The following is a 15,966-nucleotide window of genomic DNA, read 5'->3' as shown; positions in this document are numbered from 1 at the left end:
TATTATTCATCTATTGTCAAGCATTACTCCTAACTCTCATAAAGATTAAATTTCTTTTTGTGGACTGTGTTTCTTAATGAACATTGTTTCATTTTCTTCTTTGTGTATTATTTTGAAATATTTTTTTTATTAGTGGCAGAGAGCATCCAATGGGAGTAAAATTTACTTCCATTAGAAGCTCTGTTATAGTTTGTAAACACTGTTTATCTAATAAACCAGCATTTTGTTAGGAAAAGATCCTGGATCTCAATAAAAAATTAAAACTGAGTTATGTTTCTTTAAGAGGCTCACTTGAAAAAAAATAAACACCTTCTTAATATTCACTGTGAGAACCAAGTGTAGTGTTTTTAATTTTCCAGCTAGACCAATGGAGGGACACAGGTTAAAAGAATAACATCATAAGGTTTCTGAATGTGCCAAATGCTTTCCCTACAAACGTCTTGGCTATTCTGTAAAGAAAATCTCACAAGAAAGATGACACTGCTTTACAAGCCCTGCCTGAGATCTGAAAACATGAAAATTAGGCATAGAAATGTCTGAAATGGAAGAATACTGGGAGGATATTTAATTGAATTATATTCTTTCAGTTGTTAAGTCCTTACACACACATTTTCATTTAATGTGAAACCTAATCTTGCTAATTTGCCAAAAGAAAATGTCAGATTAGTGATTAATTTGCTTTCATCAAGATGTTTATTGGAACCTGATTATATTAGCATGTATTCAGCAAATAGTTTTTATATTTCTTAACTTCCAAGTAATACATCCTTGCAGATTTTACCAGTTATACTGCTAATAGATACAAGTTAGGCTACTTAGTTTAAATTTTTATTTTATATAGTTAATCATTTTTAATACTAAATCTATAACTGAGTTGGGAAAATTAATTTATTGATGGTTAGCTTTCTAAGTGTGTTTTAAAAATCATACATTGTGAAATAATTCTGGGGTTTATTTCAGTGTATGGGCTGTATTAATAATAAGCTATTACCAAAATAATGCTCTATAACCTCCAAAACTTCATGATTTACAAAAACATGAATTTATTCCCATGCTCAAGGGTGTACATTTGACTGCAGTTTGATCTAGGCTGGCGGAGTTGGGCAACTCTTCTTCAGCTGTTGTTTGGGGTTACATCTGCTTTACATGTCTTTCACTGTTCTTGGACCAGTACGTCTACTCAGCAGTTCCTGTGTAAAGAGCGAGAACACAAGAGCCAAACTTAACTGTGCAAACAAGTTTAAGGCCTCTATGCCTATCATCCTCTAAGGTTCCATTGGCTAAAGTCAGTATGTGCCGGAACCCCAAATCCATGGGACAGGGAAATACGCCATGCCCACAGAGGGGTGGTGAAGGGTAGGAGGAGTAAGTATTTACTGAACAGTAATCTGGATAATCCAAACTATTTCGTGTGTTTTGTTCTTTATGTTAAACACTGTATAATACCGAAAGGATCCCTTTCTGTGAATTGAGGTGCAGGTAAACGATCTCTTTTTTTAGGCATCTAATAATATTATGGTTAAGTGTTAATTTAAGTGTAAATTTGCCAATCCTTATTTTAGAATCCTGAGATGAATTCTTATGTATTTAAGCAGCTATTTGACTTGTTTTTGGTTATTTTCATTACAGATATATAATCATGTATATTATATACATATATATATGATGGATTGATAAAGCTCACGCATTACTTATTCCTCTTATTTTTCCTCTAAGAGCAAACATAGCACTGGTAGGACAGAATAAGTAGAAGAATGGATGCCCTGTTAAACTGCCTGCTCTTCCAAGGCAGAAGCCATATCTGTCTCTGCTGCTGTGTCTCAGGACCTAGCCCAGTACATTGCTCTGAGTAGGCTGTCAGTGAATACTCAACCAACTGATTACCGACTTGCAAGAGAGTCAACCACTGTGGTGTCTTATTTTATCTTGGCTTCATTTTGCATTAGTACATACAGTACCAGAGAATACAAGTAATATTTTCCTTATTGTGATAAAATACAAATGACATAAAATTTATCGTTTTAACAGTTTTTACTTATTTACTTATTTGCTGTAACACATGCTTCCGCTTTCCTTTTTATAAAACGATAATGTCCAAATGGTACTTTCCCATTTATTCCCATGCTTTTATTACATTCACAACTGTTGTACAATGATTGCCACTATGCAGTTTCAGTAGTTCATCATCACCCCAAATAGAAATCCTGTCCCTATTAAGCAGTTGATCCTCGTCCCTCTTCCTCCAATCCCTTGGCAAACACTAATCTGCTTCTGTCTCTATGGATTTACCCATTCCAGACATTTCATACAAATGGAATCATATAGTATTTGGCTTTTTGTATCTAGCTTATTTAGCATCACGTTTGCAAGGTTTATCCATGCTGTAGCATATTAATACAGTCATCACTTGGTATCTGTGGGGGATTGGTCACAGGACACACCCCCACATACCAAAATTCACGTGTGCTCAAGTCCATTATATACAATGGCACAATATTTGCATATAACTTATGTCTTCCTGTATACTTTAAATCATCTCTAGATTACTTATGATAGCTAATACAATATAAATGCTATGCAAATAGTAGTTAAAATGTATTTTAAGAATGTGTATTATTTTTATTGTTCTTTTATTTTTTCCCTAAATATTTTTGATCTGTGGTTGGTCGTATCTATGGATGTGAAACCTGTGGATACAGAGGGTTGACTGTACTTCGTTTGCATGGCCAAATAATATTCCATTGTATAGATATATCTATGTGTTGGTTGATGGATATTTATGAAAATAATGTTTTATATACATAGTAATTGATTTTAGATATCACATGAGATCTAATACATTAACAGTCTCAGAGGTTTTGTTTGATTCCCTCTGGAGAACACATCAGTGGAGCAGGACTGTTCTATTAAGCTGAGTTGGAAACAGAAAAAAAGAGAACTGGAAGATTTTCTAGCAAAATAATATTAACACAGTGAATGGTGAACTTCCACTGCCCAATTAAACTGTGATAGTGTGATTTATTTTTTAAGCTTCAGTCAAGATTGTTATGATCAGATATCACAATCACTTGACAGCAATTTGGTAGGGAACCAGGAATTGCAGCTGCTTATTTTAATTGTGACTTTACTCATGTATCTTTTACTTATTTGCTGTAACACATGCTTCAGCTTTCCTTTTTATAAAACAATAATATCCAAATGGTACTTTCCCATTTCTTCCCATGCTTTCTGTGCCAATTTTATGTGCATTTTCCAACCTCCTTCTGCTCTCCAGAAATGTTTTAAATCTCAGATCATGTGAGATTCTGATTTAAGATTTAAAAATACTTCCCTCCCTGAAGGTTTATTACCCAATTAGTATCTGAAAGGAGCTGCATAACTATTTCATTATCCATAGAGTCCAAGAGGAGTGCAATGGAATTAATTTAAAAGCTTGGAAAATAAGATATATGAGTAAAATGAAAGGAATTGGCATTATGTAACCTGGAGAAATGAAGGCTGAAATCTTTAATACATGAAGGACTATAATATAGAGGAGGATGAATGATTTTTCTCTGTCTTCCAAGAGAATAGAATAAGAGAAAATGGATTTAAGCAATAGCAGCCTGGATTTAGATCAGAAATAAAAAAAAGCTTTCTAACTCTAGGGAATGTAAGGTGGTTTATCAGTGTCCTTGTTAAGACCCAGCAAAGATTTAAGGAAAAGAAAGTGGAGGGGAAGAATTGCTTTGACTGTTAACATTGTTTATTAAGAGATGTTTCTAAATACCCTTCCTTGCAAATGTCTACACTATGATAGATTACTACCTGTTTTGGATGATCACAGCCCCTAAGGAAAATAACAGGCACCAGACTCCCATGTTTCTCCTCCATAGAAGTGCCTACTACATTCTTTCCAGGAGGAAACCATTTAATAAAATTTAGTTAAGTGAATAATCCCCTCTTCTTAAAGATGAGACAACTGAAGTAGTGTAATTGTCTACCCTCAGATCAAGCAGCTAGGATTAAATTCACACAGTTATTTAAGACAAAATGTAGATTTGTGGCAGAAAATAGATTTCTACCTGTTTTGGACCTAGAACGCTGGATAACAACCTGGAACTGAAACTTGAGCGGAAGCACTTCCTGCAATGCCCTAGATGCCTGGAGGGTTTATGGATCAACAATTCAGTAACCTTCAATCAGTGAAGTCAGTCAGTAACCTGGTTCTAGTGAGCACGATACATCTAATACAGAGCCATTTATTTTAAAATGATTAAAAATAGTACATTTGGTAATTATTTATTGAGTCCCCACAGTATATGAGGCATTGTGTAAGTCCTAGTGGGAAGCAATTCATAAGATAAGAAAGATGCCTATGGAATAACTTGGAGCTGAACTATCCCTCCTTTGTAAGTCATCCATGCAGTATGAAGGTTAAATGTCAGGGAGAAAGTAAACAGGAAAAAGCCAAAAGCAAGCAGCTTTGTGTTTTCTCTGAAGGTATCAGAGTGCAAGCTCACAGACTTATCTCTCCACCTTTTTGTCCAGCCTAGGTTGACCTGCTCCCCTCAGCACTTCACTGTATTCTACTTCCAGCATGTACTTGTCAGATCCCCAGCTCCTCCTATGCAGACCTATAACCTACATTTTCATTCTCTTGGTGCCTCAGACATCAGGACTTCCATGGTTCTGAAGGGAGGGACAGCAGTTAAAATGGCACTTGAAGGACTACTGTCTTGGTCCAGGGTGGGTTAGTCACTGGCAGGGCACAGACAGGAGCCCTGGGCCTAACTCTGAGGTGTCAGCAAAGAATCTTGTTTTAACTTGTATGAGAGAAATAAAGTAATAAGAATTAAAATTTATCATGGAGTGAGGAAAACTGTCAAGCAGCATTGACAGTAGATGCCGAGAAGTAAAGAGGAAAAAAAATTGTTAAAATATTAGTTACAACAAATATGTAAATTGGCAATTAGGTATAATTGCTATGTACCACAACAATGATCATCATTAAATGTCAGATTCATTTAGCATATAGTTAATTTCATTGCAATATAACCTATTCCTTTGCTCATTTTTCAAAATTATTTGCTTTTGTGCCTGGTTGTCTGTTCGGGGCATATAACACAATATAGGGAACAACACCCATTTATAGAATAAAATATCCATCTCTATAATTAGTCCTGACATTGGGTTGCTGTTTCATAGATAATGCTGGTTAAAAAAAGATTGTTATGTTGAAATAGATAATATTTCAATGATATTTCTAACCTGAAACAATTGGCATATTGTTTTAGTTGCCTTAGCTGCCTTCCCTAAAGAAAACATATTTATTTTCAGGGCTAGCTGCTGTTGGCATAATAATAAATTGTTCTTAATATTAAGTTGAGAAGAAATTTAATCAGTAAGACTGTTTTAAATTTGGCAATTTTAGGATTTCTAGTTTCTACCTCCTGCTTCTTTAGCAAAAATTGAACAGAGAATTCAGTTTTCTGTTCATGAGATACTTTACTCAAGCATTGCCTAAAAAAAATTTTTTTTAGATAAGATTTAACCAGAAGATAATCAAAAGTAGTTTTTCTCTTGGCCATGTCTCATCCTTGGTTGGGCATTGCTTTTAACCTTGATGAAAGTAGTATTAAGTCTGTATTTTGATTTTAAGATTGAAAAGTTAATGTAGGCACTAAGGAAGTCAACTAAAACAAAACTTGGGAATAAACTTTTACAATTATGAGAAAAAAGGCAATTAGTTCCTTGATATCAGATAGGCCCTGGGCTGACCCATTTAATGAAATTTCTTTAACCCTCTATTGTCTATTATATGGGTTGAGCTGTAATTCTTTGTCATCAATTTGATGTTTGTTTGGTTTTTTTCTTTTCCCTTGAAGGAATTATCCCAGATTCTTGGCAGCCTTCCTAAACTGCAGTGGAACCAAGGACTTTGTGTATTTGAATTTTTAATTGTAAACATTGTGACAAGCATTTGCAAACTGGGAGTTGGCAGAGTTGGTGTGATGTCATAGAAAATAATTTCCTTTGTTTTATTTAAAAAAGGTTTCCAAGTTTCCCCAAGTAAGTCTGGCTTTTATCTCAAGCTATGAGAGAGCCGTTTACCAGATGTCAGAATCAAGACATTGTCTTTGATTTCTAAGGACTTTACCCTGGGTGACCTGGATTATTCCTCTCTGTGAATTGAATGCAAACCTCTTAAATATCACTCCATTTCTCCAGGGCACTGCACTGACTCCTTCTTCCATTTATCTTGCCCTATTTATCTTCAACCTTTGTCTTAGGCAATACTTTCTCCCTCTCAATTCCCTTAGCACAAAAGTGATTCTCAAACACTGTCATATCCTTCAAATATTTTCAGAAAGAGATATTGATCCCCAGCCTGATTTCATCCTTTAGAAACATGCAAGTTACAGATTCATAAGTCTGATGTCAGTTAGTGGCAAAATCCTGTACCAGATTATTAAACAAGTGGTTTGTTAGCACTTAGGATAAAATTCAGTGACGAATTATAAGGGTCTGTCTAAATTTTCTAGGAACAAATGGCAAACCAATTTCTCCTTTAAATAGGTTCCCTGATTGGGAAGTCTGAGAAACTAGATAGGGCGTTTTGATTCTGGCAAGGCATTTGAAGTACTTGCTTGAGATGGCTTCATGGACAAGATGGAGAAAAACAGATCGGTGTGAAACGGGATGTCTGGTAGGACAGTTGTAGCTACTCAGTAAAATTATATAATTTAGGAGGTGGTCTTTAGGGGTATGTCACAAGCTTCTAGTCTTACCCCAACCCTAGTAACCATTTTGATTCATACTTTGGATGGACCGTGGAAAGCCCTTTTTCATTCTCTTGTTGACTAAGTCCTATTTGATCTTCAAAACCCCATTCCAGTGTCCCCTCTTAATGGAAGTCTTCTGTCACCCTCAAGTCTGATTTAGAGGTCTTTGCTCTGTACTCCTAGAGAGTTTTTCATGGTGCTTACCACACTGTACTGTGGTTCCTCATTTACCTGTTTTCTTTGCTAGACTATAATGTCCTTGAGGTCAAGTTTTATTTAACTTTATATCCCACAGCATCTGGCACTTAGTATCCATCAGTAAAATTTTGTTGAATAGGTGAATGGATGAGTGGATTAATGCTATATTTATCATTATTTTTACATGACACAAAAATACATAACGTGACAAATAACAAAATTAAGATTCTGAGAGAATAAGTGCTTTAAAAAATGGGTCCAATTAAAAAGATTAGTATATCTCCTTCATTGATCCTACCATCTTTTATTGTCTCTTATCCCCTTGCTATTCCATCACTTGTTCACCAAGCTTAATTTCATGCTTTATCCTTATAATCACTGTTTTGTGCCTCTCTGGATTTGTCTTTGACACATGTATAACTCTGGATAAATACAATTCTTTACTTACATCATGGATAAACATGGCTGGGGATAAGCCCACCACCATGCTGACTTGCCGCACTTTCAATTCATGACCGCCCACATGAAGTGGGCTCCTAGCACAGCCAGCAATCATTGTCTACATCCCTAATCCATTTTCTCACCAACTCACTCAGATGGCCATTTTAGACTTTTCCCTGTCTCTCCAAATGCTATCACCACCTCCTCATTCTTGCTCTCAGGAGACGACCATTCTTCCTGTTCACTGAAGTAATGTAAGCAATCTGATGAGAATTTCCACATCATCAACACTTCCTGTGCACCCACATACTTTGCCTTCCTTCATTTTTTAGAGAGATGAATTGTCTTTTGACCCAGCACATAGCCACCATTATATACTGGATCCCACTTCTCTCATTTTCACAAGAATATCATCCCAGCAATTACAGCATTCCTTACAGTCATGTTTTTTCCTCTCTACTGTGTCATATTCATAAGCATATAAGCATGCTAATATTTCCATGGATTCATAAAAAGTTTACAACATCAAAGAGCCTCATTAGAATCATTTTCTAATGATTCTTTATAATCAGCACCACATTGTCCATTTTGTCGTCACCTGCCTGTCATTTGCAGCCTTGGAGATCACACCATCTCTTAGCACAGCATATTGTAACAAACTGATCTTCTCCTATTATGTGGTGTGACTAAACATGTCTAATCATAAAAAGCCTTCTTTTAAAAAACGAAAAATAAGTGATTCGAATGCTTATAGTATTTAAACTCTCAGATAAATTATCTTCTGTTGTACCATAAACAGTTGTTATGAGGAATTTAAGAAAGTGTAATGTATATAAAGAACTTAGCACAATACATGGCATAGAACAATTGCTTAATAAATGATTTCCATTATTATTGTATAATAAATTAATATATATTTAGAAAATTGTGAAGAGATTCAGTATTATGTAAATAATTTTGCTTAGCTTAAAGAGAATACTCATAAGCAAGTGAGATCTGTGTCCTCAGACATGAAAAGCTCTTATAAGGAAAGGGACCTATAGTTTATGTGGAGTATCATCATGCCCAAAAAGGACAGAATCACCGTTTTAATATATAGACAAAATTCCTAGATGTGTGACCCTGTCAGTAGTGCTCTGGCCTGCCTTAAGAGGAGGTGAGGTCTCTGTGCCTGCAAGTATTCAAATGCAGAGGGTACTTATCTGTCACAGATACATCTGAAGAATGCTTTTACAGGTTGGGAGGCTTGGGCAGATGACAATAATGTTCCTTGCTCCACGAGTACACGTTCATATATATATTATATGTATTATTTATATATTATGTTATTTATTATATATTATTTGTATATATTTATTTATATACATGTATCCGTATTTCCATTAGAACTGTTCCCATATGTTGTCCATATTAGCTGATAAGTTCCTAGGTAGCAAGAGCCATGTCAGTTTTAACTGTTTTTTTTCAGTCTCTAACCAAGTGCTAAGAATATTGTAGATACTTGGTATTAGGATTAGACAAGCTAATTGAATATTTTTCTTTCCATTGAAGGAGATTGAGAGTTTCCATCCATTCCTGGAAATAATTAAATTAGGATTAATGATTATCTATACAGAGAATCTATACTGCATGGCTTGATGTTAGACAAGGTGAGAGATTTTTTTGCTTATTCAGCCTGTCACTTTCAAATCAGTCAATAAACATTAAGCGCTTCTTACTTTGCATTAATTATACTTGATGTTAGGGAATCAAAGATTATAAAGAACTTTTCAGCTCTATTAATGTGATTTGTATTTATGCTGAAAGACTATTTAGATGTGAAAAATATTTAGATGTGAGAGATATGTGGGGAAGGTTTAGCCTACTTGATGAGGAAACTATACTAAAAAGTTTTATTTTGAATATACTTATGTAAAAATTCATGGTTGTATTAGATGCAGTTATTGTAGTTTGATAGAAAACCCAATCTAGGGCTGGGCGCAGTGGCTCACACCCCTAATCCCAGCACTTTGGGAGGCCGAGGTGGGCGGATCACCTGAGGTCAGGAGTTTAAGACCAGCCTGGCCAACATGGTGACACTGTCTCTAGTAAAAATACTAAAAAAAAAAAAAAAAAAAAAAAAAAAAAAAAGCTGGGCTACTTGGGAGGCTGAGGCAGGAGAAGCACTTGAACCCGGAGGCAGAGGTTGCAGTGAGCCGAGATCACACCATTGCACTCCAGCCTGGGCGACAGAGCAAGACTGTGTCTCAAAAGAAAAAAAAAAAGAAAAGAAAAGAAAACCTAATCTAAACTAGCTTAAGCAAGAAAGGGAACTCATTGGATCATGTTTCTGAAGTCTAGGGTATTTCTTGTTTTTAGCACTGCCAGATCCAGTTGACAGATATAATGAGAATGAAATCACCCTTTTTATCTTGGTGCTACATCCCTTCAGAATTTGGCTTCCTTCTCAGGTGAGCTTTCTCCTTGGGCTGTCCCCTAGCAGCGCAGACTTGTGTCTTCCCAAATTCAAGCACAACAGAAAGGAAAGAAATTCTCACTTAGTGTCTATAGCCAAAGGTCTGGAACCATCTCTGATGTGGTCATGCGCTCTTTGCTTAATGAATTGTTGTGCTTGCGGATAGGGAAATGATGTTCTGATTGACTCTTAAAGATCAAATGTTCACCCCTAGACCTAGGGATGGAATTGATTGTATCTGAACCACTTGGTTTGAGAGTTGGCAAAAGTATCATCTGGGCCGTGTTATTCAAGGAAGAGGGAATAACCAGTGAGCAGCCTCACAAGTATCCACAGCAAAGATCCCTGTGTGAGGCGTAGAACTGTTAGAAACTGCTGGAGTTGGTAATAGGGAAAAGAACATTGGTGATCAGATAGTCTATTTAGAAATATGGTTTACTGTGTTTTCTCTAATTGTATTATGAGACAGTTCCTTTTTTCAGTATTACAGAGCAAATATACTGTTAATTCATATAATAAGGTATTATCTGGTTTGCAACCTATTTATATTGACCCAGGGACTCTTTTGAGAAGCTTCAGATAGACAGGAGGGGTTATAATGGAAACACCTCTAAAGAAGAATGTGCCTTTAAAGACTTTTAGTTTCTTTGTGTTGCTAAATGTGTAACTACCCATGAATGTGCATTACAGATAATAAATGTTCCAGGTTTTATAGCATCTATTGCTTTAAGCTTCCCTCATGAAACTGCCAAGTCCTTCCTCTTTATTAAAAAACAACTGCAACAAGGGCAGCAGCAAACAGCTAAATGCTCCGATGCTATCCTTAAAGACATATTGTGAAGAAGAATATTAATTTATTTTCAGAGGGGAAAATACATATAATTTTAATTCTATATTATATAAGAATTCCATGGATGCATTACAGGTACCTTCACTCTGCCAGATGCTGTGAATTTATAAATTCATGTAATTATTACAAAGCCCAGCAAGGCAGATCTTATCTCCATTTTTCACATTTCTCAAATGTCTGATTACCCTTGCCTATCTATTTATATTTCAAAGAGAAGCAGTAAAATACTGATTGGAATCAGTGTGTTTGGATGGGACATATAGACTGATGGATATTATCAAGATGGCTAGCAGTCTTTTCCCTCCAAATATGAGTTTCTGTTGATTTTTATTCTGGAACGATCCTCAGAAAAAGGATTTTCCAACTTCCTTCCTGTGGGGTGCAGTGATGGCTTTTAGCATATTGACTCTGGGCAGGCAGAGGGGCTTAGGGATTTTATTGTTTTTTTTATGCAGATAAAATTGAATCTCCAGTTTTCAGTAAAGCACTGTGCCCCAGCCTCCTCTGTGCTTGATGTCCCATTCAGGCACTGGGTTAGTAGTTGGGTGAGATGGGAGAGGTATGGTTGCCCAGCTGTAGAGACAGGGACCTGAAGTTTTCACTGCTCCCTATATGGACTTTCAAACTGGCTTAAATAATGACTGCCATCTCCATTTCCTGAGAATTTCCAGGGTTCTGAGGATCAGATTGGCTTGCTTCTCATTGATGTCATGCCAGTAGGTTTTATCTTCCTGATGAGTCATTTACCATTTCCCCATATGCTTTCTGCAATCATATATTTGGCTCAGGGTTATAGAGATCTCCTAGTTGCACAGAAGTTAAAGTTTTTGTTACCCATGTCTTTTGAGAGTGATTTTTAAAAGAAGTGGGCAAAAATGTCTTTACTATCTTGAAATCAGATGTCATCTAACTTATAATTCTCTCTGTCAGTTTCTTCATATGTAAAATGAACTAGTGGCTTCTAAAGATGTAAATTCTACCATCATTATTGTTTTTATACTTCTATAGTGGGGTGTGTGTGTGTGTATTAAGTTACTAGTTTTATTGATGCAGGACAAATTTTTCCTGTAAACGAGGTTTGAAAAATAAAATCTTATATGTTAATTAATTTTATATCATGTATATTAGTACAAGTTCAGATGTATGTGCAATGATGTTATAGGGTGCCCCATATAAAAGTGATTAGTTAATTGAAGCATGTATTTGAAATGGGACATCTTCTAAGCAGACTAAACTAGATATATGAGAAAATGTGATTGTTTACTAACTGCCCTAGTATAAGAGCCCTGTGGCTTTGAAAAAAAGTGACTTTTCAAAATGCAACCAATCTAAACCTTTTATTTTAGGTGACACAACTACTTGATTTTAAAATAGTTAAAAAATACTAACCTTATGTAGGAATGCTAATGCATCTTTCTTTTTGGAGTGAGTCGTTTATTCTATTATGATTCAGATGCTAACTCATGAATTGGAGAAATAATAATTTTTAAAACAATTTTTAAAACTTCTATGCTCTTCCATTGTAAAATCTTAGGATGTAACAGTTCCCCTGGGGGAATTTACTCTTAGAAAGCCAGTTACAAAATAATACAATATAAAATAAATTTCAGTCTGCATTTGGGATTTGCCTATAACACATCAGTCTGATCCATAAGCCAAAAGAAACATTTTTATTTATGCTTCCATTCTCCTTCCCTCTTTTCTCTCTCCATTTCTCCATTTCTCTTCTGAGTGCCTTTAGTTCTGTTTTGTCACTAAGAAAAAATTCTTACATGTTTGACCAAAGGCCAAAGGTGAATGCCAAGTAAATTCAGTCACTTCTTTGAGGATTAATGATGGGATTTCTACCCAGCATGCCCCAGGTTTGCTGTGTCCAAGTTTTGCCAAGATAAATCTCTGGGCAGTCCAGTACTTGTTTGGAAGAGGACTTGAGAAAAGTTTAATCATTTCTGGGGTTGGTTTTTTGACAGGTCAGCAGAAAACTGCTTTATTGAATCCAGCTTAATGTATTTGAGTAAGATTCAGGAAATAAAGAGTATTGGCTTTGGCAGCAGGTTTGGGCAATAGGCAAATGCAGGGCGTTCTCAGGAAAGCCACCAATAAGCATATGTATCTCTCAGGAAACAGAATACCAGGAACCCATAAAGAAGCCAGTTTTCTAGCTGGGTAGACATCAAGTATCAATTGTTCCTAGACACAGTTGGATAGAGAAGGAAAAACTGGGTCCTGGCCTAGGTTCATCATATGACCATGATCTCTAATGACAACAATAGCAGTGTCAGCAAAACCATGGGTTCCCAGAAAACTCTCCTGGTATCTCTAGTGAAGACCTAGGAATAGAAGGATAACTAGAAATCAAATTATTATGAAATAGTGGTGAAGAAATAAAAATGGGAACATCAGGCACAGAATGAATGTACAAAGGAAAGAGGAAGGAAGTGAAAACATCCCAAAAGAGTCCAAAGGGACATGTGTTCCTATATGCCATGTCATCTAAGAAAGATACTGGCTACATATGGTTCTTTTGAAGCCCTAAAGATTTGCATTTCTCAGGAGTGATCAGGCCCTGAGAATCTGACTCATGCTTACCAAAATACTTGCATGACTGAGGTCAACATAAAAATGACAATTTATTAACAAAGGAAAATATAACTACTATGTGGCCTGGGAGTACATGCAAGAGCATGATCACCACAGTCTTTCCCCTGGAGACAAACCTCCGTTAGAGACTTCATCATGGCTAGAAACCATGGGAAAAGTACAATGATTTCAGGGATAAAATCTGTATCATTAGCCTGTTCTTTCCTCAAAGTCAAGCAACTTAGGAATCAGAAGCTGCCTGGTGATCTTGGATGCAGAACAAAGGGTCTTTAAAACCAAAGGTCTAATTGTACCAGTCTAGGGACATGTGATGCCTCTATTTCTTGAGAGGGATGGTTTTTCTGAACAGGCCAGGGTAGTCACAGTCTGATGGAAATGGCTCCCAAGATCCAGTTCTTGCAATACAGCAGCTTTGCAATTAGACCAGAATAAGCATAAGAAATCTCCCTTTTTGATTTACTTGGATTTTCAGGCTTGTTCAAACCTCATTCCTAAATCTACTTTTATTTGATAATGGAGTGCTTCTATGCAAAGGTTTACTTCACAGCTGATGTTCACCACCTGTACTCTCCAGGATCTGTCTAGCTCTTTCATCAACCAAGTAGAGAATCAAAAGACAATGAAATAGAAGTAACCGTGCATATACAGTAGTCCCCCTTTATCTGTGGTTTTGCTTTCCATGGTTTCAGTTACCCACTAAAACAGGTAAACACAGTACAATAAGATATGGGGGGGGTGGTGGTTGGGGAGAAAATGAGACCACATTCACGTAACTTTTATTATAGTATATTGTTATAATTGTCCTATTTTGTTATTAGTCATTGTTGTTAATATCTTACTATTCCTAATTTATAAATTTAACTTAATCAGAGGTATGTATGTATAGGAAAAGAACATAGTATATAGGATGCAGTACTATTTGCAGTTTTAGGCATCCACTGGGAGGTCTGGGAATGTGTCCCCGGCATTTCCAGTCTTCATTGTTGATATGACACTGGTCAGTCCTCAGAGTTGCAGTTTGGCTTTTGGTTAAATATTGTGGTAGGGAGAGATGTTTCAGAGTATATCATTTATTACTTATTTCCATATTCTTTACTCTTTGAATTAGGAAGCCTATATTGGCGGGAGGCTCTGTGATTCAGGGTATCAGTTCTTCAGCTCCTGAGTGTGTTATTACAGATAACCACATAATTGATTCCAGCGGGGCCCACTGATGAGGATGCTAACATTCCATTTTAAACCTGAATCCCCTATGCCCTTAATCTGATTCGTAGACTATAGAGCTATTCCCAGTCCCCAGGAATTAGTGTTAGCTCAAAGCCAGCAAGCAGTAGTACAAAGGGTGTGTTTCACATTCCCCAGTGTAAAATTATTCCATTTAATGCTGTAGGTGCCTGTGTAGATGGACAATATAAATAGAGAACATTTTTTGAGCACTTACTATGTGTCAGGCACTATTCAAATACTTGTTTCTAAATATTCTAAATGCTGGTATCTCCATCAAATATCTAAGGGCCTTGTTATAAAAAATGTTTTTTCTGGGCTCACATAGGGACATATATAAGGGATGGGCAAGCTACACATGTTAAACCCTCCACATATTCCATCTCTCCAAACATGGGCAAGCTACGCATGTTAAACCCTCCACATATTCCATCTCTGCAAGCAAGAAATGGGTCTCTAGGCTAAATGTCTGGTAAATGTCTCTTACATACCCATGGATCCACCTCATTTTCTTGAACTGCCGCATAGTATTCCATTGATTTGATAACCCATGGTTTATTTATTCTCTTCCATCAACAGACATTATAGTTTCTCTGTTTGTTGCTACTTCAAACAATACTTCAATGAATAGTTTTATATGTCTCTGAACACATGTGAAGGTTTCTGTAGAATTTCTACCAAAAGGAGGCTTTAAGTTTGTTTACATTTTGCCTCTGTGTTTAGAGAGGCCAAGTCCCTTTATCCCTTCCCACTTAAAGAGAAGACGCAGTAACTATAGTTATGAACTATGAGGAGCAGAGATAGAAGGCTTTTAAGGAAAAATCAGTAAATGGTAAATGGAACACTTCCAAATAAACAAATGAACAAACACATAGGCAAAACCCCTAAACCCACAAACACCTTAACCAGTAATCTTGTCTTAATAATGAAAATCAACTTCTGTGTAGATACCAGAAAACTGAAAATAGGGCAAGCAAATCTTGGCCCCAAAATCTGAGTAGGGACAATTAAAACTTTAGAATAGGCTCCAACTTTCAAAAGACAGATTTAAAAACACAGTTTTCTAAGCCAATTATATAGAGTGTAGGGTTTTACATATCCAATGCTCTCATCTATTTTTTCCCCTCCAAGCTTACAGGAAAACACTGTTTATTTCTGACATTTGGAAAAGCTGTTTCAGCCTCAGTGTTGACTGATAGTAATAGATATAAGAATTAATAAAAGAGATGTATTTGGTGAGTCACCAGCACAAGAGCTAAAACAGGCCACATCCCAAGGTAAGTGAAGCAGAACCTAGCATCATCCCATGGTGTTTTGAAGCTATGATTGAAAGTCAGAAGGGAGGAATATGTGTTTGCCAAGAAACATCAATGCTTTTGACTTCTTTCAACCTAGACTCATTGGTGGCATTTCCAGGGAGCTGATGATGTCTG

At 36.2% G+C, this 15,966-nt stretch overlaps 1 long non-coding RNA gene across 1 annotated transcript in view; it reads right to left on the bottom strand.

Annotated features, from left to right (window-relative positions):
• Positions 1-1,023: 1,023 nt before the first annotated feature.
• The window catches only part of NREP-AS1 (NREP antisense RNA 1), a 104,799-nt gene continuing 89,856 nt past the window's right edge, over positions 1,024-15,966 (bottom strand). The window contains exon 4 of the long non-coding RNA NR_046678.1: positions 1,024-1,190. This is a non-coding gene — a long non-coding RNA (NREP antisense RNA 1). The remainder of the gene's footprint in view (positions 1,191-15,966) is intronic.

The sequence above is a fragment of the Homo sapiens genome, chromosome 5, assembly GCF_000001405.40.
Source record: "Homo sapiens chromosome 5, GRCh38.p14 Primary Assembly".
Lineage (NCBI taxonomy): Eukaryota > Metazoa > Chordata > Mammalia > Primates > Hominidae > Homo > Homo sapiens.
This window is presented reverse-complemented; position numbering and strand designations above follow the sequence as displayed.